We start from the raw sequence: 24967 nt of genomic DNA on the forward strand, positions 1-24967 counted from the left end.
TTAGTGATCATTGTTAATCTTTTATTGTACCTAATTTATCAATTCAACTTTATCACAGATGTGTATGTATAGAAAAAAAAAACATAGTGTACAGGGTTTGGTACCATCCATGGCTTCAGGCATCCACTAGAGGTCTTGGAACATACCCCTGCAAGGATAAAGGAAGACTACTGTGTATATCCAGTGTGGCTAAAGTTGAGAATAAATCTAGCTGCCTTAGAGATACTCTCAGAGTCTCTTGGGTTTGTAGCTCTTTCGGAGTAGACAGATTCAGCAAATAAAAATACAGGATGCTCATACTTTATCTGATGACCCTAAGCTCTTGGCCCCCCTCTCCCAGTGCTTAAGTGGAAGGCATCTGATCTTTGAGACAGTGTTGAGGTTCTTTGTAGGGCCCTTAGAAATCCACTGGTTTGGGATTTGCAAATGCCTAGCTCATGTTTGCCTTGAACCACCTCTACCCATTAGTGATAGACATCGCTAATTGATCGTTGAGCCTCACAATTCTTTTCAATATAGCACTCTAGACAGCAACTTCCAATTGATCAGAATTGGTATGTAAGCTGGAATTAATTGGCCTCCTAGACGGAATCTGAATTTAAGCTTAAGGCGGAAAAGGCCAGACAATGAATGGCAGTGCCAAGAACAGAACCAGGGCTGGGCTCATTGGCTCATGCCTATAATCCCAGCACTCTGAGAGGCTGAGGTGGGAGGACCACTTGAGCCCAGGAGTTCGAGTCCAGCCTAGACAACAAAGTGAGATGCTATCTCTACAAACTAAAACTTAGCCAGGTGTGGCGGCACACAACTTTAGTCCCAGCTTCTTGGGAGACTGAATCAGGAGGATTGCTTGAGCCCAGGAGTTTGAGGTTACAGTGAGCTATGATTGTGCCATTGCACTCCAGCCTAGGTGACAAAGCAAGATTCTGTTTCAAAAAAAAAAATTTAATTTTTAAAACTTAAAAAAAAAACAAACCAAGTGTCTCTGCTCCCCAGCTGGGAATGTTTTGCTGGAGCCACAGAGTTCTGTGTTGCAGTACCTATAACTTTTTTTGTGGCCAGCACCACATCATGTGTGTATAGGAGAGAGGGCACCAGAGATTCATCCCATGTGAATGTGGGTGTAGCACACCACCTGGGCTACACACAGGAGGGACAGGTCACCACCACATGGGCTGACATTCACAGGCAACAGAGAATTTACTCTGAAGCCCCCATCTTGAGATCAAATTCTGGCCCCTGCATTTTCTGGCTGTGTGACCTTGGTCCAGCTATTTTTCTTCTCTGAGCCTCAGTTTCCACATCTGGAAAATGGAGACTGTTAGTATTGACCTAGTTGGGTTATTGTAAGGATTCAATTAGATATGAAAAGCCCAACCCCGGCACATCTTAGATGCCCAGAAAATGGTACTTGGTACCATTCTAGACTCTGCAAGACAATTCTTTTGCCACTAAAATCCTCCTCTTTATCATCTGCTGTTAAGACATCTTTCTTTGCATGCAGCTCTCAGAGGAGAGCCTCACATTTCGAGCTTTGTTAGTGAGTCATTTGTACCTAAGAGCAAACAAGGAAAACAAATGGCATAAAAGAAGGGACAACTGGCATTGGAAGAGACCTGGAATCAAACCCCAGTTGTTACTTTTTGCTCTGGGATGCTTTGCAAGAGACCCTGTATAGCCAAGCCTCAGTTTGTCATTTGGACAATGGGCCTAAGGACAGGTGTCCCCATGGGCTCCATGATGGCAGGGGAGAGGATGGATGTGTGAGTGCCTGCTTTCACTGGCACTGTAAGCAGAGCTTTCACACAGCATCAATTTCTTTGCCAATAACACTCTGGCCTGGCACCTGGCCCATGGCTGGTGAGGCTCCCTAGGCAAGAGGAAATGAAGTTTGACTCAGGCTTTTGTTAATGCCTGGCTGCGGCTGGCCAGACCTGCCTCCTCTGGGGTTAGAGCTGGCCTCGCAGCTGAGCTTGGCTGGGTGCATGGGGTTACAGGGAAGTCGGCTCTGCCAGGCCGAGAATGGGAGACTCTAAGTTACACATCACTGCCATTGGCAGTGGACCCAGGCCAGAGGAGAGAAAGAGGCAGATCAAGACTCAGCATCCCCATCCCTCATGTCTGGTCCTTTCCCCCATCAGAGGACAAATGTTATACAAGTGAAAAATGACCCCAACTGCTCTCAACCTGCAATAGTTGAGGACACCGAGGCACAGAGAGGGTGTGCAATGCGCCCAGGGTTTCACAGCCAAGAAACAGAGGAGCTAGGATGTAAATCGAGGTCTATGAACTTCCCAAACCCAAGCAGTTAACCAGCTAACCTGCCTTCTGTAAGAAACCTGGAGAGTTTGCCCTGAGGAAAAGATGGAAAGAAACATTAATAGTAATCAGGCACATATCATGGGTTGATCAAGATATTTGCCCCTTTTCACATGAATTTATCTACTACCACCCTAGTCATTTTCATTGTATTTTACTGATGAAGAAACTGAGGTTCAGACGCTTGAAGTGGCAGATCCAGTGTGGCATTATTGTGTCTCTGAAGTTAGAGTCCTTACTTCGGCATCCACCTGCCCCAGAGGCAAATGACTTCCCCTCTCTGATCTTATGCCCTCCTCTGTAAACTGAGGATGATCACAGCACTCACCTCACTGAAATATCTTAAAGACCAAATGAGTTTGTGAATATAAAGTGGTTAGAATGGTGCTTGGTACATAGAAAGAGTACTGCAGGTATTTATTTCTGCCATTATTGTTGCCATGATTATTACTACCCAAGATCAAGCTGCAACAAACAGACAGGGTTACGTTTAAAACCAGGATTGTAGAATTCAAAAGTAGGTTTAAGATGCTTCACGCCTACAGTCCTGGCCACTTTGGGAGGCCCAGGCGGGAGGATTGCTTGAACCCAGGAGTTCAAGCCTGCAGTGAGCTATGATTGTGCCACTACACTGTAGCCTGGGCAACAGAGCAAGACCCTATCTCTTTTTAAAAAGTAGATTTAATAATTTCTCTCCTATCCCCATGTTTTTGCTACCAAGACAGTGGCTCCCAGATATTTGGACATCACTTAGCAGTTGAAAAAAATTAAATGATAGGTAGATAGATAGATAGATAGATAGATGATGGATAGAGAGATAGAGAGATAGATACATAGATAGATAGATAGATAGATAGATAGATAGATAGATAGATGTAGCATATTCCATTTTCTATTTTACCAAAGCAGACATTTTTAAAAAATTACTACCATCTTTTACTTCCATTATTTCAGAAGGTAAGGGCATTTTAACACCTAACGGTGGGGGGCAAGAATCACAGGATACAGGAAAGCCCTTTAAATTAAATAAATGTAGCTTTCTGAACACTCTCTCAACATTATTCTCTTCATTTCCACAAAGACCAGTGGACACCTCATCAGAGGTCATCCCAGGTTTTCAGGCCAGCATTTTAAAAGCACTGCCTTACTCCCCTGCCAAGGCTCTGCAGGAGGGTGCACAGAGGTTTGGGGTGCCAGAACACATTTCTAAAATAATGTGTTTCCAGAAAAGTATCAGCTGATAAGTAGCTGGAGGAAAAAAAATTTATATATATATATATATACACACACACACACATACACACATAAATACATATATGTATATATACATATATACACATATATACCCACATATATATACATATATACACATATATACACACACACATATATATACATACATATACACACACACACACACACACACACACACACAAATATATATTTTCCTCCCCAGGTAACAGCACAAATTCAGCAAACCTAAAAGAGGATTTTTTATAACAATAAAGTAGTAACAGACTCTGATGAGCTTATCTTGCAATTTACAGAGTGTCTTAGTCCATTTTATTCTGGTAAAACAGAATACCACAGGCTAGGTAATTTGTAATGAACAGAAATGTATTTGGCTCATGATTCTGGAGTCTGGGAAGTCCAAGATGGATGGACTATATCTGTTGAAGTTCTTCCCATGGCAGAAGACATCACATGAGCAAGAGAGTGAGGGAAGGGGGCCAACTTTGATAAGGACCCCATTCGCAAGGTAACTAACTCACTTCCGGGGTTAATGACATTAATCCATTCATGAGAGCAGAGCTTCATGACCTAATGACCTCTTAAATGTCCCATGTCTCAACACTGTTGCATTGGGGATTCTTTCTAATACACGAACTCCAGGGGACACAATAAAATCATAGCATAGGGGATGCGTTAAGTAGAAGCCAAAGAACTCCTTTTATAAATACTCATCTGGGAATAAGCACATGGGGCTCAGACACACCCAAGCAAGCACTGATTTCCCTTGGCATCAGTTGTGTGGAGCAGCAGGCGTGAACGAGTTGTTTTTTTGCAGTTGAGTCTAGGCTGCAAACCTGCAGGCCCAGCCAGCCTCCAGAGGGACTGAGAGATGGGTGGAAGGGGATCTGAGATTGGAGCATGCCTCTCTGGTGACTGGAACAGCAAGCCAGGGGCAAGGTTCCAATGAGAAAAGGAGGCAGACACACACAGCTCACAAGGCTTAGGTTTACATGACAGATCAATGCAAATTTGAATCTAATTTTCTCTCTCACCCGAGGGTCTCAGTCTCGTATCCATAAAATGTGGACAGCAATATTCAGTTGAACTACATGAAATGCCATTTTTGTGGGTCAAAAGCTGTTGGTAGTCAAAGGAACTGACAATAGCAAGTGTTGGTGAGTATGTAAAGAAGCTAGAACTCTCATCCATTGCTGGTGAGGGTGCAAAATGGTGTAGCTACTTTGGAAAACAGTTTGGCAGATTCTCTCAAAGTTAAACATAAACTTGTCATATGACCCAACAGTTCTACTCCAAGAAATCCATCCAAGAAAAGTGAAGGGATATGTACACACAAAGACTTGTACACAAATGTGTACAGCAACAGTATTCAGAATTGCCAAAAAATGGAACTAATCCAAATGCCCATAGACCGGTGAATGGATAAACAAAATGTGATACATCCATGTAATGGAATACTATTCAGCAATGAAAATGAATGAAGTATTTGATACATGCACCGGCATGAATGAACCTCAAAAATATGCTACATGAAAGAAGTTAGACACAAAGACCATATATATTGTGGGATTCCATTTATATGAAATCTCTAGAAAAGGCAAATCTGTAGAATCAGAAAGCATATCAGTGGTTGCCTACAGCTGGGGGTGGGAAGAGAGGACTGACTGCAAACAGGCAAAAGAGATCTTTCGGGAGTGATAAGAATGTGCTAAAACTGGATGATAGTGATGTTTGCCCAAGTTTCTAAATGTACTAAAAATCATTGGATTGCACACTTAAAATGGATGAATTTATGATATGTAAATTATACTTCAATAAAGCTGTTTTAAAAAGTCAAATACAGGCCGGGTGCAGTGGCTCACGCCTGTAATCCCAGCACTTTGGGAGGCCGAGGCAGGCAGATCAAGAGGTCAGGAGATCAAGACCATCCTGGCTAACACAGTGAAACCCCGTCTCTACTAAAAATACAAAAAATTAGCCGGGCGTGGTGGTGGGAGCTTGTAGTCCCAGCTACTCGGGAGGCTGAGGCAGGAGAATGGCGTGAACCTGGGAGGCGGAGCTTGCAGTGAGCCAACACCGTGCCACTGCACTCCAGGCTGGGCAACAGAGCGAGACTCCATCTCAAAAAAAAAAAAAAAAAAAAAGAAAAAGAAAGTCAAATTTTTGTGGTTCAACCAAATTATTTGCTTATGGGGGTTTTGAGGTTTCAATCTACAAAAATACAATTAAATTTCTGTTTGTGACCACAATGGTAGACAGGTGTGATAGATTGCTAAAAATGGCTCTAATTCTCTGCCCTTTCCCTTATCCATACCCTTGGCAATGTGACTTTGCAGGTCCTACCATCAAGAAATGGGGAGTCACTAGACTTGCTTTGACCAATAGTATGCAGTGGAGGAGGCTGGGCGCGGTGGCCCATGCCTGTAATCCTAGCACTTTGGGAGGCTGAGGTGGGTGGATAGCCTGAGGTCAGGAGTTGCAGACAAGCCTGGCCAACATGGTGAAACTCCATCTCTACAAAAATACAAAAATTAGCTAGGCATGATGGCAGGTGCCTGTAATCCCAGCTACTCAGGAGGCTAAGGCGGGAGGATCACCTGAACCTGGGAGGCAGAGGTTGCAGCAAGCCGAGATCGGGCCATTGCACTCCAGCCTGGGCAGCAGAGTGAGACTCTATCTCAAGAAAAAAAAGAGAAAAGAATGCAGCGTAGGTGATGGTGTGCCAGTTCTGAGTCTAAGCCTCAAGAGACCTTGAATATTTACTCTTTTTCTTCTTGGAATCTTGCCACAACTAAGAACAATTCCAAGTTTGCCACAACTAAGAGCAATGTAAGCTAGTTCACTGAAGCATGAAAACCACCTGATCCAGCTTATAACCAGTCTGCTGCTGCATATGTGGATGTGGTCATCCTAGAACAGCCAGTCCTCAGCTGACTTGCCAGCTGATCACAGGTGCAACAGCAGGTCCAAAGTCATCTGACCTTGGCCCAAATCAACAGAACCATCAAATTGACTTATAGATTCATGAGAAATAATAAATTCTTGTTGTTTTAAGCCCCTAAGCTTTGAGGGATAGTTTGTTATGCAGCAATAGATAGCTAATAGAGTTGGGGTTTTTTTAATTTGTTTTTTCACCACTTTTGAAAGGTTTGTTTGGAATGGCCTGGCTTAAAATATAGGTGGTATAAATGAAAGCTTTTCTGGGAGCATCATGAGTTACTGCAATCAGGAAGGACATTGTATGTTCTAAGATGATGCAGTGGAGGAAATGGACAATGGCCTCAAATAGGAACCCCAAATTAAAGGCCATAAACTGAGTTGCAGATGCTAATTTGTGATCCGGTTGCATCTCACACAGGTAACTCTTAGAGGCACCTCTAGGGTGAGTTACAGTAAGGATTTATTTATTTAACAGTAGCTAATGGTTCTTCCAAGACATGCCAGGGAGCCAAGCTGGAATATTAAGTAAATTAATGGCATACAGGAGGTACTCCGTGTCTTTATACAATTTTCAGAGAATGGAGAAGAACAGATTCTAGAAGCACTAGACGCATTTAAAAGCCTTCATGACAGAGTTTAGAGGCTCAGAGTCCAAACTTCTTTGACTTCACAAGTTAATAAAGAGGTTGGTCCAAACTTTTTCTATGGCTTATATGGCTGTGTTCAGGATATTTAGTATTACCTAAGTAACGTATTCATATGGGTTTGTTTCCAAGAAATCCCCAACTTTGATTTTTCACCACTTTGGTGTATTGAGAGAAGATCCTTGTCTAAAAACCCATTGCCTAAAGGAGGAAGACAATGCTTTGGCTTGTCTGGTCCTAGATTGAGCTGTCCAGTGTGGCAGAGCCAGATATGGGCGTTGTCATTGTGGGTGGCTGCTCTGCTCCTTCCCTGTTATGAACCAAAAGCTTGTGGCCTTCCCAATTTATACCTTGAAGCCCCAACCCCCAATGTGATGGTATTAGGAGAGTAATCAGTTCAAGAGGGTGAAGCCCTCATGATGAGATTAATGCCCTTACAATAAGAGGCACAAAGTGTGTGTGCTCTCTCTCTCCCTCCTCCACCCCCCTTTGCTCTGCCATGTGAGGACACGGCAAGATGATAACCATCGGCAAGCCAAGAAAATGGGCCTCATCAGGAACCAAATTGGCTGACACCTTGATCTTGGACTTTCCAGCCTCCAAAACTGTAAGAAATAAATGTGTATTGTTGAAGCCACCTAGTCTATGATATTTCATTATAGCAGCCCCCATGGAATAAGACACTCTCCTTGCCCCATATTGGGGGAGCAAAGAGAAAGGATGAGGTTTTGGCTTTTCTAAGCCCTTGGGTACAGGTCTTTATTCTCTGGCTGTTAGAGAAAATCTCCCTTACTTTTCCCATGGGCAAGCTGACAAAAGACAAACCTAGGGGATTATCAGAAGGGAGCAATGGAGATGCTATCAACTCCTGTCTTTAACAGATGGAATTTTTTCACATCTCTGGTCAAAATAACTAAAATTCCTTAGAATTTTAGATGTGGGGGTGGATCATTGAATTACTACCTCCGGAACTGCGAGAAAAGGAAACTGTAGGGAAAAGAATCTTATATGGACCCCATGCCCATACCAAATGACCAACCCAGGCTCAGAGAAGTGGACAAGAATTTGCGTAATTCCTGAAAAGGGCGATGGATGAACCTCAAAAGACTTGCTTTGGATTGTTCTTTTCTGAAAACTGGCTGTGTGGCTTTGGGTGAGTCACTATCCCTCTCTGGGCTTGAGTTTCTTCATCTGTAATGTGGGGGCCATAAACCTGCCTTCTTCGTAGGCTTGATTAAAAAAAAAAAAAAGCAAATGAGATTAAGGTTGGCCCTTTTGCACAGTCTTTAAGGGGTGAGCTGTGAGGAATGGTGGTCACTATAGCTTCAGATCTTCTGCCCAAGAGAAGCCCAACCTTTGTTCAAGCCTTCTGAAAACTGCCCTGTCCTTTACTACCCATTATGGCTACCTTCTCTAGTTACCTAAAAGATTACTCTCCCTTTTGGAGCCCCTGAATCTTGCAGCCTCCTGCTGGACTCTGTCTAAACCAATCTTCACCTACTGGACGTCTATTATAGGTAAGACCCAGGAGAGATGGAATGAACAGCAGGATGCAGTTCTTATCCTCAGGAAGCTCAAAGCCTAACCAAGAAGGCAAGACGGGTACAGGTGAAGAGTTATTAGCTCTCGCTTCTGCATCCTCAGGGTTTTTCACATTGAATTATTGTTTTGTAGCCTTCTCCTCTAGAGCAGTGGTTCTCGAGTATTGCTATGCATCACAATCACGCAGTGGGACTATTATTTACAGATTACAGGGTCCCACACCCAGAGTTTCTAAATTAGTAGATAGAGCCTAAGAATCTACATTACTAATTAGTTCCCTGGTAAGCTCATGCTGTTGGTCTGCAGACTGCACTTTGAGAACCACTGGTCTGTATTCAGAGTTTTTGAAGACAGGTGCTGTGTCTTAATTGTCTCAGGAGTCTTTGTCTAACATTTGTTTTAAACTTACTCTTGTTACAAGACCCTCCTCAAATATCTTCTTGTCCTGGAAGCCTAAAGTGACTCCCTACACAGAGGGAGTAGAACTGTCTTGTGGTTTCTCAAGCACAGCTCTCTATTTTAATGCATATATGAAGCTGTCTTTCATCTGTGCAGATGTTTGCTCTGCCAGACTGTGAGCTCCTTGAAGGTGGGGATTTTGTCTGGTTGTTTTTTCCCCAGAATAAGAATGCTGGGTATATACATGTCTAGATAATGGTTTAGATGGATGGATAGATGGTGAATGAATGGATGAGTAGATGTATGGATGGATAGATGGATGGACATGTGAATGGATGGGTGAGTGGATGGATGGATGGATGGATGGATGGATGGATGGATGGATGCATGCATGCGTGCATGTACGGGTGGACAGATAAATGAATGGGTGGATGGATGGATGCATAGGTGGATGGATGGAGGGATGGGTGAGCAGATGGATGGATGGATGGATGGTTGGTAGGTGGATGGATGAATGAATGGATGGATGGGTGGCTGGTTGGGTTGATGGGTGGACAGACTGAATAAATGGCTATAGTACAAAGCCATAGATGGGAAGAAGTATATGTTAATAGAGAGAACTTGAACCCTTAGACTTCATTTGTTGCCTATTTGGGGGAAGGTGGATAATGAAAGGCAAAACAACCTCTCCTGAGGGTTGACTCTCTGCATTCGTACTCTGTGCCCTGTCCTTTTGGGCCTTAGCTTCCCCCTTGGGCAAAAGAGGGGAGCTGGATGAGACAACCACTAAAAGTTTTTTACATTTTGAGCTGAAATGATTCTTTTTCATAAAATGAAAAATAATAGCAAAAGCCACCATGTAGTGAGACTATGAATGTGAAATTAGCACATAAATCACTTGGTACAGTTCCTGGAAGATAGTAAACAGTTAACACATGTCAGGTATTTTCTTCTTCATTGTCATTATTGTCACTCCATAATGAATCTAGGTCTTTACCAATATGAATCCCTTCAGTAACTTCACCTCTGTGGTTTTGAGAAATAGCTGGTATCTTAACAAAGTCTATTTCAGAGTAAAGAACACCATCTAAGGATAAGGAGGGTCATTCCATAATGATAAAGGGGTCAATTCATTAGCAGGCTGTAACAATGATAAATATGTATTCACCTATTACAAAACTTCAAAATATATGAACCCCAAACTGACAGAACTAGATGCAGAAGTAAGCAAATCCACAATTATAATCAGAGATTTCAGCATCCCATCTAAATAATTAATAGAACGGTAGACATAAAATTAATAAGGGTTTAGAGACCTGAAAAACATGGTCAACCAACTAGACCTAATTGACATTTATGGAACACTCTACCTAACAATGGCAGAATACATATTCTTAAAGTGCTCATAATATGAGCTCATATTATGGGTCTTACCTTAAAATATGGAATATTTTACTAATACAGGTTATATTATGAGCCATAAAGTATGCCTCAATAAATATAAAATGATTCAAATTATACAAAGCATATTCTGTAACCACAATAGAGTTAAACTATAAATCAATAACATATCTGGAAAATTTCTAATATTTAGAAACCAAAAGCAAACTTCTAAATAACCAATGGGGCAAAGAAGAAATAAAAAAATTAAAACCTATTTGAAATAAATTTCAAAGTACAATATATCAAAATTTGTTGCATGCAGCTGAAACAGTACTGAAAGGAAAATTATAGCATTAAATGGTTATGTTAGAAAAATAGAAACGTCTCAAATCAATCACTTCAGTTTCTACCTTAACAAACCAAAAAAAAGAAGAATGTCAAACCCAAAAGTAAGCAAAATAAGGGAAATAATAAAGATCAGAGCATAAATCAATAAAATAGAAAAAAGTAATAGAATCAATGAAAGCAAAGCTAGTTATTTGTGAAAAATTAATAAAAATGATAAACCTCTAGCCATAATTATCAGTAAAGGAAGATATAAATTACTAATATCATGAAGGAAAGTGATAACATCGCTACTGATGCTATAGATATTAAAAGGTTAATTAGGGAATGTTATTAGTAACATTACGCAAATAAACTCAACAACTTAGGTAAAATGGACAAATTCCCTGGAGAATGCAAGCTACAAAAGCTCACTCAAGAAGAAATAGGTTGCCCAAATAGCCCAGTATCTTTAAAAACTTGAATTTGTAGGTAAAAACATTCCAAAAAAGAAAATTTCAGATCCAGGTGAGTTCGCTGGTAAATTCTACAAAGCATTTAAGGAAGAAATAATACAATCAAACACAAATATTTTCAAAGCATAGGAGAAGAGGGAACTTCCCAATTTATTCTATGAAGCCAGCACTAGCCTGATACCAAAATCAGACAAAGGCATTACAATAAAATTTTAGATCAATATTCCTCATAAACTTAGACACATAAATCTTTAACAAAGTTTTAGCAAATCAAATCCAACAATACATAAGACAAAATATATCTTATGATCAAGTACAGAAATGCAGAGTTGGTTTACAACTTGAAAATCAATAAATGGAATTTGTCATATAAGAGACTTTCTTTAAAAAGGGAAACAAAGTAATCTCAATAGATGCAGAGAAAGTATTCATTAGATGTTGAAAAAAATCAACATTTATTCCTGATTTTTTTTTAAAAAGTCATCAATCCAGGTGTAGAAGGGAACTTCCTCACTGGGTGAAATGGCTCAAGCTTGTAATCCCAGCGCTTTGGGAGGCCGAGGCAGGAAGGTGGCTTGAGCTCAGGAGTTTGAGATCAGCTTGAGGAACATAGTAAGACCCTGTCTCCACAAAAATAAATAAATAAATAAATATTAGCCAGGCATGGGGGTGCATGCCAGTGATCCCAGCTACTCAGGAGGCTGAAACAAGAGGAATGCTGAGCCCAGGAAGTTAAGGTTGCAGTGAGCCATGCTCGCTCCAGTGCACTCCAGCCTGGGTGACAGAATGAGACCCTGTTTCAAACAACAGCAGCAACAACAACAAAGAACAGAACTTCCTCAGCTGGATAAAGGGTATCTATTAAAAAACAAACAAACAAACAAAACCCTACAGCTAACATCATCCTTAATGGCAACAGACTGAATGCTTTCTCCTTTAGATGAGGAATAAAGCAAGATTGTCCGGTCTTATCATGTCCATTCAACATTGCCCAGGGCAACGAAGCAAAAACATATAAATTGAAAAGGAGAAAGTAAAACTAACGTTATTTGCAGAAGGCATAATCATCTCTGTAGAAAATCCTGAGAAATCTATAAAGATGCCACTAGAAGTAATAAGTGAGTTTTGCAAAGTCAGTACACAAAAATGAACCGCATTTCTATAAACTAGGAACAAACTTTTGGAAGTTGAAGTAAAATAATCTACCACAATAATATGAAGAATATGAAATACTTAGTGACAAACTTGCAGGCGTTATTCAAGATCTGTACTCTGAGAACTATGAAATGTTGCTGAGAGAAATTAAAGAAGACAGAAATAAATGGAGAGATAAATTGCATTTATGGGTCAGAACACTTGGTATTAAGATGCCAATGCTCCCAAACATTGATCCATGGATTGAAGGCAATTCCAGTCAAAAACTCAACAGACCTTTTTGCATAAATTTACAAGCAGATTATATAATTAATTTGGAAAATCAAAGAACCTAGAAGAGCAAAAAAAAAAAATTGAAAACAAAGAACAAAAAGGACCTACACTGCTTGATTTTAAGATGTATTATAAGGCTACAGTAGATAAAGTAGTATCAGTGTGGTATTGGCATAAAGATACACAGATCTGTGGAATAGAATAGAGCTGAGAAATAGACACATACATATATGATTAATGGATTTTCAACAAAATTACCAATTTAATGGGGGAAAGGAAAATCTTTTCCTTAGGTGATGCTGAAACAATTTGATGGTCATATGCTGAAAAAAACCCACCATATACGAAAAAATTACTCTAAATAGATTATAAACCTAAAAGTAAGAGTTAAAAATACAAAATGCCCAAGAGAAAACATAAGAGAAAATCACTGTGGTCTTGGGTATGGCACAGGTTTTTAAAACATGAAACAAACACAAACTATAAAAGAAAATATCAATTAGTTGGAGAAAATCAAAATTTAAATATTTTGCTCTTTAAGAGACACTTACAAAAATGAGAAAGCAAACCACAAACTTGGAGAAAATGTTTATAAAACACATATCCGACTGGGCGTGGTGGCTTACACCTGTAATCCCAGCACTTTGGGAGGCCGAGGTGGGCGGATCACCTGAGGTCAGGAGTTCAAGACCAGCCTGGCCAACATGGTGAAACCCCGTCTCTACTAAAAATACAAAAATTAGCCGGGCGTAGTGGCAGGCGCCTGTAATCCCAGCTCCTCGGGAGGCTGAGACAAGAGAATCGCTTGAATGCAGGAGGTGGAGGTTGCAGTGAGCCGAGATTGCACCGTTGCACTCCAGCCTGGGGAACAAGAGCGAGACTTCATCTCAAAAACAACAACAACAACAACAAACATATCCAACAAAGGTTTCTGTCTCAAGAATATATGAAGAACTCACACTATGCAAAAATTTAAAAATATGAAAAATGAAAAAAGAATTGAACATACTTATTAGTAAAGAAAATATATCGATGGCAAATAAACACATGAAAAGATATTCAACATCATTAGTCATTAAGGAAATGAAAATGAAAACTGCAATGAGATACTACCACCACAAGCCCAGTAGAATGGCTTAAATTTGAAAACCTGATTATCCCAAGTATTGGCAAGGATGTTAAGTGGTTGAGACTCATACGCTACTAATGGAAATGCAAAATAAAACAGCCAATTTGGATAACTATTAGGTAGTTCTTTAAGCAGTTACACATCCACCTGCCATATATATAACAATTTCACTCCTAGGTATTTACCTAAGAGAAGTGAAAACATTCACCCTCACAAAAACTTGGGCAAAAGTCCTTGTAGCAGCTTTATTTGTAGTAACCCAAAAGCGGGAGCACCCTGAATGCCCAACAATAGGTGAGTGGGAAGACGAATTGTGATACAGGCATACAATGAATACACTGGTGTCTTGAGTTTTCTGATCCGTCTAGTGGGTGACAGTACCTGTTTTCTTTTCCTTTCTTTTTTTTTTTTGTTTTTTGTTTTGTTTTGTTTTGTTTTGTTTTTTGGAGACAGAGTCTCGCTGTGTCACCCAGGCTGGTGTGCAATGGCGCGATCTCAGCTCACTGCAAGCTCCGCCTCCCGGGTTCACGCCATTCTCCCGCCTCAGCCTCCCGAGTAGCTGGGACTACAGGTGCCCACCACCACGCCCGGCTAATTTTTTTTGTATTTTTAGTAGAGACGGGGTTTCACCGTGTTAGCCAGGATGGTCTCGATCTCCTGACCTCGCGATCTGCCCACCTCGGCCACCCAAAGTGCTGGGATTACAGACATGAGCCACCGAGCCAGGCCGGTACCTGTTTTCTTGACAGCATCGGACTGTATGGGAAATCTGTCTGCTATCAGAGAATTTAAAATGTAAGCACTTCCAAAGGTAAGTGCTGAGGTCTTTTTAGACCCACCTTTGTAATCATCACACCCAGAGTCCATATCTTCATACTGATTGAGGGATTCAGTCTCATTTCCACAGATTTGTGTAGTTTTAAGGAATATACCATATACCTTAAGAATATAAATAAATATGGTTACTTACTTATCTTCACATCTCAAGCTTCATACCTTTGCAAAATGGGGAAAAAGGGGGGCTCTTTGACCACACTCAGGGATTTGGGCTTGGGAAATATGGTCAGTAGGCTTGATTTGGTTTCCTACCCTACCTTCTCTTGGTGTGTCTTTTTATTCATTTTGGATTCCCAGGAGCATGATGCTATCTCTTCTCTTTGACTTTATTTAAGGAGAGGTAGTGTATTCCTAAATTATAAGAAAATATGGATTCAAAACTTAGTTCTTCTACTTACTAGCTGTGTGACCTTGAGCAGATTACTTAACCTCTCTGTACCTGTTTCCTCATTTGGAAAATGGGAATAAGCAGAGTACTACCCCCTGGAGCTGTTGAAAGCATGCAAAGCTCTTAACATTGGGCCCACCCTAAGTGGACAACAAATATTTGTTATTCTTAGTACATGAACCCAGTTTCAGGAGAGGGTCTGAAGGTCGGATTCATCTTATCACTCAGTGTTATAATGGTCACTCTCAATAGATGACCACCCAGACAGAGGTTGCATTTTAATATGGTCTTGTTACAGAAAATAGATTCTAACTGGGATTTGGGGCATGATTAAATTGGTCTGGGGTAGAGGAAGGGCTGGGAGAAGGGCATTATTGTCTAGGACCAAATTGTGTCCTCATGACAATGAAGACTATATGAGAGACTCATTAAAATCAGCATTTTTTGCTAAAATAGAATAAAAATATAAAGAGTTTTAATAAAAAATTTAAAAATTTGCATCTTCGAGCCAGGATCACTGGCGTGCCCCTGTAATCCCAGCTACTCGGGAGGCTGAGGTGGGAGGATCACTTGAGCCCAGGAGTTCGAGACCAGCCTGGGCAACACAGCAAGACCTGTCTCAAAGAAAAATAAACAAAATAAACAAAACCAGCATCTCTGAGGGGCAGCCTGGGAATCCACATTTTAAGAAACTCTCCAGACAATTCTCATTTCCAAGAAAGTTTCAGAATCCCAGTCTAAGGCATATATATCAGAATGTATTTTTTTTTCACTATCTCTTGCTATGACATTCTTGTATTTCTCTCTCCTCAATTTCTTTTTCCTACTTTTGTGTATGTTTGGGCAAGGGGTGGCGGTGGGGGGGGGGATTGACCCAAAAAGTCCTTAATTACCTGAAAATTTTTTTTCTTATTTTGTTCTTTTTAGGACTTGTATAGCTGCATTTTAAAAAATTGTTATACCTTGGCAATAATATATATGTAGAATTGTATATTCTGCATCAATTAACATTATGCCATATGTATTATCTCATCCTGATACATTTTGTCTCAGGCCTTCTCTTCCTCACCTCTTGCTTCTGCATTCAGGTAACTACTCAGTGTGGACAGATAGATGCATGCCTGTGTCCATGTTCATACCATCCTACTCAAATATAGACAGATTGCATGTTTGAAAATTTGACATATTTTGGTTTCTCTTACTGTATGTATTTTATAAGCACTCTGGTATATTTTTCTTGAAAGCTAAATGAATGAATAAACAAAACTAAAAGAGATATGGTTGGCCTATGCCTGTGCTTAAAGCTTCACATGAGATTTCTATAGTGGAGAAAGTTGCTTTACATTAATGAGGATCATATTTACTCTTTTAGTCTTACCTGCAATTATTGGGTGAACTCAGGTCTCTTTAGTTCATTACCCCATTAGTGCCTGTCAATAACGGAGAATGTGCCTGAAATGCTCAAGTGGCTGGGAGCTTTGGAAATCTCATCTCTTCTAACGGAGGGCAGCTCTGGCTTGTGCAGTGGGGAGCTTGGATCCTGGTCCTGTGGGTCACTGCAACTCGGGTCTCTCCCTGAGCCTTAATTTCCCCAACTGTAAAAGATAGCTATTAGGCTAAAGCAGTATTTCTTTCAATTTGCCCTGTGGGCCATCTGCTTCAAAATCACTCACACACGATTTAAAATGCAGATCCCCAGAGCACACTCTAGACCTATTGAATCACAATCTGGGGTGGGGCCCAGGAACCTTCATGCTTAACAAGTCTCACAGGTGGTTCTTATGGATTATTACAGGCTGAGCATCACAGTTTTGTGGTTAAATATTCTGTGTGGTTGAACTCCAAACTCCTTTCTATTCTTTGTCAGGCAGAAAGCGATTGGCCTGGGCTGGTTAGCCTGGTTCTCATCTCCATGCTCAAAAGCTATGTCAGGCTCCTGGGAAGGGATGCTATTGATACCTGGCTACTTGCCTAGCTGCTGTGGCCTCCCACAGGTCATGGACAGGAGCCACAGCAACCACAGCTGGCCTGCCCCATAATAGCTCAGACCTCAGGAGGGCACTCCAGCATTGACTGGGCATCCAGTCTACAGAGGGTACACTGGGATCTGTCAAGCCTCCTCTTACAGTCCTTAGGGGGACATGCCTTTCTTCCCAGAGCCTGAGATTAAAGCTGAAATCCTAAGCATCCAACATATATCAGGAACCCAGTGCAAGTTTAATGAATGCATACAGAATACCGAGTGAGTGGTGTACTCTGGGGTGGATAAAATAAGGAGTGTGGGGTGGGATCTTATGTGCAAGCCAGATAGTGGTGGCCAATAAATACTTGTTGAGCAAATGTATGTCACTAAGTGAAATTCAAATACCTGGTGCATAGTAGGTATTATAAATGCAGCTATAGTAAGTCAATTTAATATCTGCCCCTGCTTATCCCCCATATGCCTTCAGCCCTTAACATTGCATTGTGCTGACCCCTAACTGTTATATTTACATGTCTTTGGCTGAAGGCCTTCTCTACTGCCTGCAAGCACGGCAGCCCGGAAATCCTCAGGAATTGGCTCATGACCTCCAGCAGTCCTGGAACCAAGAAGTGATTGAAGTTGGTGTATAAATACCCCAGCTCCCTCACTCCTCAGAAGGATAACTCTGAAACAAACACACTATACCATCTGTAGGAGTCCCCCAGTGGAGTGGAGCCCCAGATGCTCATGGAGGCCATTTGCTTGATAACACGCACTGTCTTTGGCTCCCGTCCTGTTTTCTCTCTCACTTCTCCACTCCCCTACTGATATTTTCCAAGATCACCTCCCAAATCAACCACTTGCACTCAAGTGGTCAGCTTAGGTCAGCTGCTGAGGGACCCATGCTAGCCTTAGGGTCAGCTGCTGAGGGACCCATGCTAGCATGACTGTTGAATTAATGAAGGACTAAAGATTTAATGAACAGAGGTGGAGGGCTAGCATACTATATGCTTAAAACATAGGAAGCCTTTGTGGGAGGTTACTGAATGAATAGCATTCAACAAATGCGTAGAGTTCAAGGTAGATCCCTATAAATCTTGTACTTGAATTTCTGGTACAAAAAAAATGCGTTTTGAAAAAGTGAATGAATGAATGGTCATTGAAAAGAGTCAAAGGCTAGAAGTTTATGCTTTGGTACATAGTGTTCAATAAATGCTTTTTGTATGGATAGGGAAGAAAAAAGGAGGGAAGGAAGGAAAGAAGGGAGAAAGGGAGGAAGGAGGGAATGAAGGAAGGAAGGGAGGGAGGGAGGGAGGGGGGGGGGAGGGAGGGAGGAAAGGGAAGAAGGTGTCTCAGAGGCTTGGAGCTTGAAGTAGCCAGGCACTGAGCATTCATGAAGTGGCCTATAAAACCCCCCATGGTCTGGTCCTTGCTCAGACCACAGGTTCCCCTTGCACCACTCATTCCCTTTTTCATAACACTTCACATCAGCCTCCTTTCAGCTCCAAATCTTTACAAATTCTGTTTCCTTGGTCAGGAATGGTCTCTTTTTAAGATGTGTCTCCTTACACTTAACTAAGTCTCAGCCAAGAATTTGCTTCCTCTAGGAAGCCCTCCCAGAGTTCTCCATTATGTCACACGTATATGTAACTATAATACCTCCTGTATCACCTGGTATTTCTCACTTATGTAATTAGCTGCTTAATGGCTGACTCTTCCCAGTGGAATGAAAACTCTCTTCCATGTTCTCGGGGCTCATCACGGCACCTGGCACATAGTAAGTGCTCAATAAATATTTGATGAAGGCTCAAGTGAGTGATGCAGCCATAGTGCCTGGTCTGGCTTTAACCTTAGATCTAGGGCTTTCCTGGGAAGAGCCGGGCTTCCAGAAACTTTCATCTACAGGCATGCTGTTCCCACTCCCACAGCACCCCAAACCAGCCAAATGGCAAAATGCACCCAAAATCTGGGAAAAGCCTTCAACAAATCATCTTAGAATAGTTACAGCTTCTGTCCCAGCCAGCACTGTCACAGGCAGCTTAATTATGGTCATTAGGACCCACATTAAAACATGATTATAACATAAAATTGAAATTAGCTGTATAACACATCCAAATTTTTCGGTATGCTTATTGATTTTCCTCCTCTATTAATCAGAGGGCTACAGTAAATTCAGATAGATCTGGTATAATTAAAACCGAGCCTGTAAATTCCAGTGAAAACTCTAATTAGCATCTGTCTTTTGTTAAGGATAGCGAGGTGGGAATGTATATTTTTCCGCGAAACATAATCAGGGCTTTCATGTTTCTTTCCTGGATCTTTGGTGGGGCAGGTTGTCATTCCTTTTTAAGAGGAATTTAAAATTGGTTTGAAAAAAGATGCAAGTCATAAAGACATCTAAGAGATGCCAAAATAAGAAGTGGTTGGTTAAAAGAAAAATGATTAGTCGAACCGGGTGATTGGAGGCATGTGGATGAAACAACCAATTGAATTGTTCTCTTTTCAGTATGGTGGAGTGGCTTTGAAATCAGACAACTTTGAGTTCAAGTCTGAACTCTGCTATTTACTACCTAGGTGATATTGAAAAAGTGCTGTTTTACCTAGCTGAGCCTCGGTTTCCTCATCTGTGAAATGGGGATAATGATAGAACCTACCCCATAAGGTATTTGGAAGGATTAATGAGATTACAGTTTTTTCAGCTTGTAGTAAAATATTGATAATTAGGAGTTGCTACCATCTTCATCATCATCACCACCATCATCCACACCACCACCATCATCTTCATCACTATTTACATCATCATTATTATTTTCATCTAATAAAGAGAAAACTCAATGCTTGTCATGGCTTTAATGAGCTTCATGGCATAGTGAAAACATGACTTTGAATTCAGGTAGCCTTCCACTCTGTGCCACTCATAAGCTATGTGACCTCATACAAGTCATTATATTTCTCTAAATCTGTTTTCTCATTTGTAAAATGAGCACAGCTTTCAAGAGGATGTTGAAGAAGTAATGAGGAATGTTGATTATGCCTGGCATGGAACAAGTCATTTAACCAATGTTGACTCCCCATCTCCCATATCCAGTCCTGTATCCTCAACAGACTGCTTAGTTGGTGGTATATCTCAGGCAAGTACAGAATATAAAATAGTCTCTGGGTTTCTAATCACCAGATGTCTTTAAGAGGCATCCTGTTGGCTTTTCAGTACTGCCTCCTATAAGGCCAGTGTTCCATTGTCATGGCTTTAGTTGCTGGGGAGTATTTATGTCATCATAGAAGGGATTGTAGAGCTCATCACACATTCCACCTGCTCCCCTGCATTTCTCAGCTTTCTCTGTGGCCAGAGTGAGGTTGTGTGACTACTTCTATCCAATAGACTATGGACACAAACATGGCATTTCCATTTGGAGAGAGGGAAAGAGCAGTGGTCAGAAAGCCATCACTAGAGATAACAAAACTGCAGAATGGGAGTGACAGATTATCAAGTCACTGCAGGGAAGACGGTTGTCCTGGAAAGCAGCTGAAATTCCACAGGACTTTTGTGAGCGAAAAATAAACCATTGTTGCATTAAGCAACTCCAGTTTTGAAGTTTGTTACAGCGGCATACGCTAACCTATACTGATTAAAACAATGATGATCAATCAAGTCCATTTATCTGATTGTGGTTCTTGCTCTGAATGCATTAGTGGGTTGGTGGATACTGCCCTCTCAGGGGCTGATGGACTTACTTCCAGAGCAGATTTTGGGTAGAGCAGATGGAACCTGGAACTCCTGAGTCCAGAGATCTGTCATGACACTCGTGCCCTTTTATGCAATCTGAAGCTGTTCCCTTACAGTTCACATGCCTTAAATAGCTGAGAGGAAGGAATGTGGACAGCCCAAACATCAGGGGCCTCAACTGGCTCCTTTACAGTCACATAGTCCCCCTGGGCATATTGGGGTGCCCAGTGGAATTAATATGTGGAATACCATGGGCATCTATTGTTTTCCCTGACCAGAATCCACACTCACCTTTATTTGGATACCAGCACCTTAATTTTGTTTTGAAAACCACTGATTGGATGCAAGCTTGGTGGGCTTTTCAATCAAAAGGCACCATCCTCATTTTCCCAAAAGGGGGCACATGACTCAGCCTCAGTAGTGATTCATGCCAAAGTGCAGCCACTTCGAAGAAGTGGGGAGGGTCCCTGCTTCCTAGATCCTCAGAACTGGTTTGGTGCTCTCCCAGGTTCAACTCCCTTTGGTCTGTGAGATACTCCTATCTTTCTAACACAGCCCTCCAACCCTTTTCTGGCTAAATGTAGTCAGCCTCAGTTCCTTTCCACCAAAGAACCCTAAGAAATGTATAGTCATGAAGGTCATCCCATGTCAACAAAGCCCCTGTCATACGCTGGTGCCTTGCTGCACTCTGTTGTCTCATTATTCTAACCTTGGAATGTATTTTATGTCTGATGTAAACATAATCATAAACGAAGTCAACATAACTCAGTAGATAAGGAAGATGTAGTTTTATGTATTCACTCGACAAACATACTGTGATTGCCAACTATAAGCAAATGCACTTCTAGGTACTAAGAATAAAGCAACAAATGAAACAGATTTAAAAAAAAACACCGCCCTCATGCAACTGACATTCTAGTTGGAAGAAGCAGACATAAACAGCGCAAATAAGTAACAATATAATATTCAGATGCTGAGACGTGCAATGGGGAAATAAAACAGCGCAGGAGGACGGAGAGAACATGGAACAGGAGCTGGGGGCAGATGAAGAGGCATCGCAATTTTAAACTCCTTGTTCAGGGAAGACCTTGCAGAGATTCGAGCAAAACCTGGATAATAGAGTTGTGTGTTCTCTTGTTCATGTCTCCAAATTCCATTTTGCAGGTGATTCGGTTTATAGGGTTGTTGTGGGAACAGGATCTGACACTTAATAAGTACGCAATAAATATCATCTGGAAAACGAGCTCGAAGGAGCCGCCATTCAGATGCCAAGTCAGCTCTGGGTGTGTGGGGAGCGTCAGTGCTCACCCTCCAATCCCAAGCTGTCACACCGAGGCTGCTGCATCTCAGAGGCCCCATGCAGAGCACCTTCTCCTTCAGGTCCTGGGAACTGCTAAGGCTGAGGCCTCAGAAGTTGTTGGGCCTTCAGATCACCAGACCCTGACCCAGACTGCTCTAATTAGGGACATCCAACAGAGATGGGGGCAGGTGGGGAGAGAGAGAGGGAAAGAGAAAAGTGGGGAGAGGAAGAGAAAGAGGAAAGAGAGGGAGGAGAGGGAGAGGAAAGTGAGACAGAGAAAGAGGAAGGAGGGGAGAAGAGAGAGGAAGAGAAAGGAGAAATAGGAGGAAGAGAGAGAGAAAAAAGAGATGGTGGAGAGAGAAGAAAGAGAAAGAGGGGGAGAGAGGAGACAGAGAGATAAAGAAAGGGAGAGAGAGGTGAGAGACAGACAGAGGAAGAGAGAAGAGAGAGGGGAAGAGAGAGGAAAGAGGGAGGAAGGGAAGTAAGAGAGAGTGGAAGAGAGAGGGAGGAAAGAGAAGAGGAGAGAGGGAAGGAGGGGGAGAGAGCAAAGAGGGAGAGAGAAAGTAGAAAGAGGTAAGAAAAGAGAGAGAAAAGAGAAAGAGGGATAGAGGAAGAAGGAAAGGGGGAGATGGAGGAAGAAGAAGGAGAGGAAGTAGAGGGAAGGAGGGAGGGAGAGAGAACAGAAAAGCAGTGCACTAGGAGGTAGGGGATTGTAACTCATTGGAGAGAAGCAGGTAGAACTGTGGGGCCTCTGAAGTGGGTTAGTGGCTTTGACCCAGGTGGCTAGGGTACAGTTCCTCCAACATCTCCAGCTCCTCCCTGCTGCCCTATCCTGACTACATTCAAGAAATGGTCCAGGGCATGGATTTGGGATATAGGTGAACCTGGGTTCTCCTGGGTTCGAACCCCATCTCTGCCATTGCCTGGACAGGTGAACTTGAGCAATCCCACCACTCTTTCATTCTCAACTGAATAATATCAACTTCACAGGTTAAAGTGAGGATCATGATGTGGTTTACGGAAGGCATGCTGGCATGTGCCAAGCACACAAGGGGTGCTTAGTCAACATTCGATGCTGCTGTTATCACTCTAACCAGGTTTGGGGATTAGCTCTGTCCTGGCTCTGGGTCCTTGGACTCTGGGGTGAACTCAGCCCCTGAGGAGATTCCTGGTCTCTGAAACTTTCATGCAAAGCCATGGTTATGGTTCTGAACAGGAACTTTCTGTGCAGTGGTTCTTAGTCCCAGCTGCACACCGGAATCACCTTGGAACTTTAAAAAAATACAGATCCTGGGCCCACACCCAGAGAATCTCACATAATTAACTCAGGGTGCAACCTGGGCATCCGAATTTCTAAAAGCTCCATGGATGATTCCAAGATGCAACCAAAGTTGAGAAGCACTGTCTAGGGCTTTGATTTAATCTTCCATATTTATTCCTAAAGAAGGAGATATACCCAGACACCATTTCCTTAGGCAGCCACACAGACCACTGGATTATTAATTTTTTTCAAATTTGGTTCCAGAAACATTTGTTAAGCATCTACTATGTTCCTGGAACATTGTTAGCCACTGAATAAGCACTGTTCCTGTCCTCAAGCAGCTTGAAGTCTGGGTGGCCATACAGTGAGTAAACACAGTGCTTGAGAAGGCCACAGGAGCGGTGAGGAAAGAAACATCACCCAAATGCAGGAATACGTTGGAAAGAAGTGGGTGCAGGGTCACACCTAAAGCACAACGTGGAAAAATGAGTAGCAGTCTTCTCTAGTAGAGAGGTAGGGGGAAGGTGGATAGCCCATGCTGTTCAGGGTTGAACAGCATGAACAAATGTGGGTTGGTGAAAAACTTCTAGGGAGAAGGGACAAAATGAGGAGGGAAGTTGCCTATAGGCAGGACTATATAGCAAAGGGTGAAAGGGTAGGAGAGGAATCCAGGTAGCAAAGGTCTTACAGCCAGGCTTAGATCTGTGGGGTTCATATTATGGGAACTGGGGAGCCATGGAAGGCTGTAGGTTAAGGGGAAGCCTTTATCCTGTGCTTAAGACTTCAGGGTGTGGCTGCTGTTAAGTGCTGGAGTGTGGGGCATCTGAAGAAGAAAACGTCTGTGCTTGGCAATTTCCTCTCAAGTAATTTTATTCCATTCCCTTCCATCATGCAGAAACCTGAAGTTATCCTGAGAACAAACGTCACTGCCATGGAAACAGTAAGAGAAACAAACAATGCGTGCACTGTATAAAATTGTACATAAAGGCTGTTTATTTTTCATGCCATTATTTTAATAGGTGGGGATGGCAGTGATGGGCTGGAGGAACAGCAGGCTTTAATGGTGCCGCTAATGTTGCCTATTCTTAAAATGACTTGAAATGCTCACAGACATTCAGCCATTGGCACTTAGATCATGTCTCTGGCTGGGAACTCCCGCTGGTTTCGAGTCTCACTGCCGGGAAGCATCACCTGTTCCTGGAACTGAAAGGCAGTATGGCCAAGCGGTTATAGACTCAAGCCAGAGGTCAGACAGCCCTGGGTTCCAGTCCTACTTCTGTCACACTTACCGATTGATGACTGTTGGCAAATTTCATCACCCCTCCAAGCCTCTGTTTACTCATCTGCGAAGTGGAAATATAGTCATTCGTTTATTCCTTCATTTGAAAGTTAACAAGGCTTCACTGAAAACTTGCTATGTGCTTTGTTCTAAGGGTCCTGGCATCCACTGAGCTTAAAGTCTAGTGGGAGAACAGAGATAATATACCTGCAAACACATAAATAAGAGACATAATTGTAGATAGTGATAGAGGCTAAGAAAGATTTAAAGCCAAGGTTGTTCTCTCTGATGAGATGCCAGTCTAGCTGGCCACAGAAAGAGGAGGAAGAGCCAGCTGCTTATATATCAGAAGGAAAGGCCTTCCAGGCAGGGACACGGCA

The 24967-nt window shown here is 42.0% G+C and overlaps 3 long non-coding RNA genes across 6 annotated transcripts in view; 1 reads left to right on the top strand and 2 right to left on the bottom strand.

Moving 5' to 3' along the window:
- On the bottom strand, nt 1-16778 carry LOC102724801 (uncharacterized). The gene is made up of 4 exons (XR_938106.3): nt 16439-16778; nt 14930-15023; nt 14675-14774; nt 1-148 (listed from the first exon to the last, which is right to left on the bottom strand). It is a non-coding gene; the product is annotated as an uncharacterized LOC102724801 (long non-coding RNA).
- LINC02559 (long intergenic non-protein coding RNA 2559) overlaps nt 14520-24967 on the top strand; it is a 12153-nt gene continuing 1705 nt past the window's right edge. Inside the window, exons 1-2 of one of the 2 annotated variants that reach the window (XR_938105.2) lie at nt 14520-14646; nt 24204-24248. This is a non-coding gene — a long non-coding RNA (long intergenic non-protein coding RNA 2559). Of the gene's footprint in view, nt 14647-18737; nt 18801-24203; nt 24249-24967 lie in introns of those variants that run through there. The other variant, XR_938103.2, reaches the window with a different exon arrangement.
- The window catches only part of LOC105372971 (uncharacterized), a 7332-nt gene continuing 6636 nt past the window's right edge, over nt 24272-24967 (bottom strand). For all 3 annotated transcript variants that reach the window (NR_188585.1, NR_188586.1, NR_188587.1), the window contains exons 5-6: nt 24598-24651; nt 24272-24511 (exon numbers count right to left, since the gene is read on the bottom strand). This is a non-coding gene — a long non-coding RNA (uncharacterized LOC105372971). The remainder of the gene's footprint in view (nt 24512-24597; nt 24652-24967) is intronic.

The sequence above is a fragment of the Homo sapiens genome, chromosome 22 (assembly GCF_000001405.40).
Source record: "Homo sapiens chromosome 22, GRCh38.p14 Primary Assembly".
In the NCBI taxonomy this organism is placed as follows: domain Eukaryota; kingdom Metazoa; phylum Chordata; class Mammalia; order Primates; family Hominidae; genus Homo; species Homo sapiens.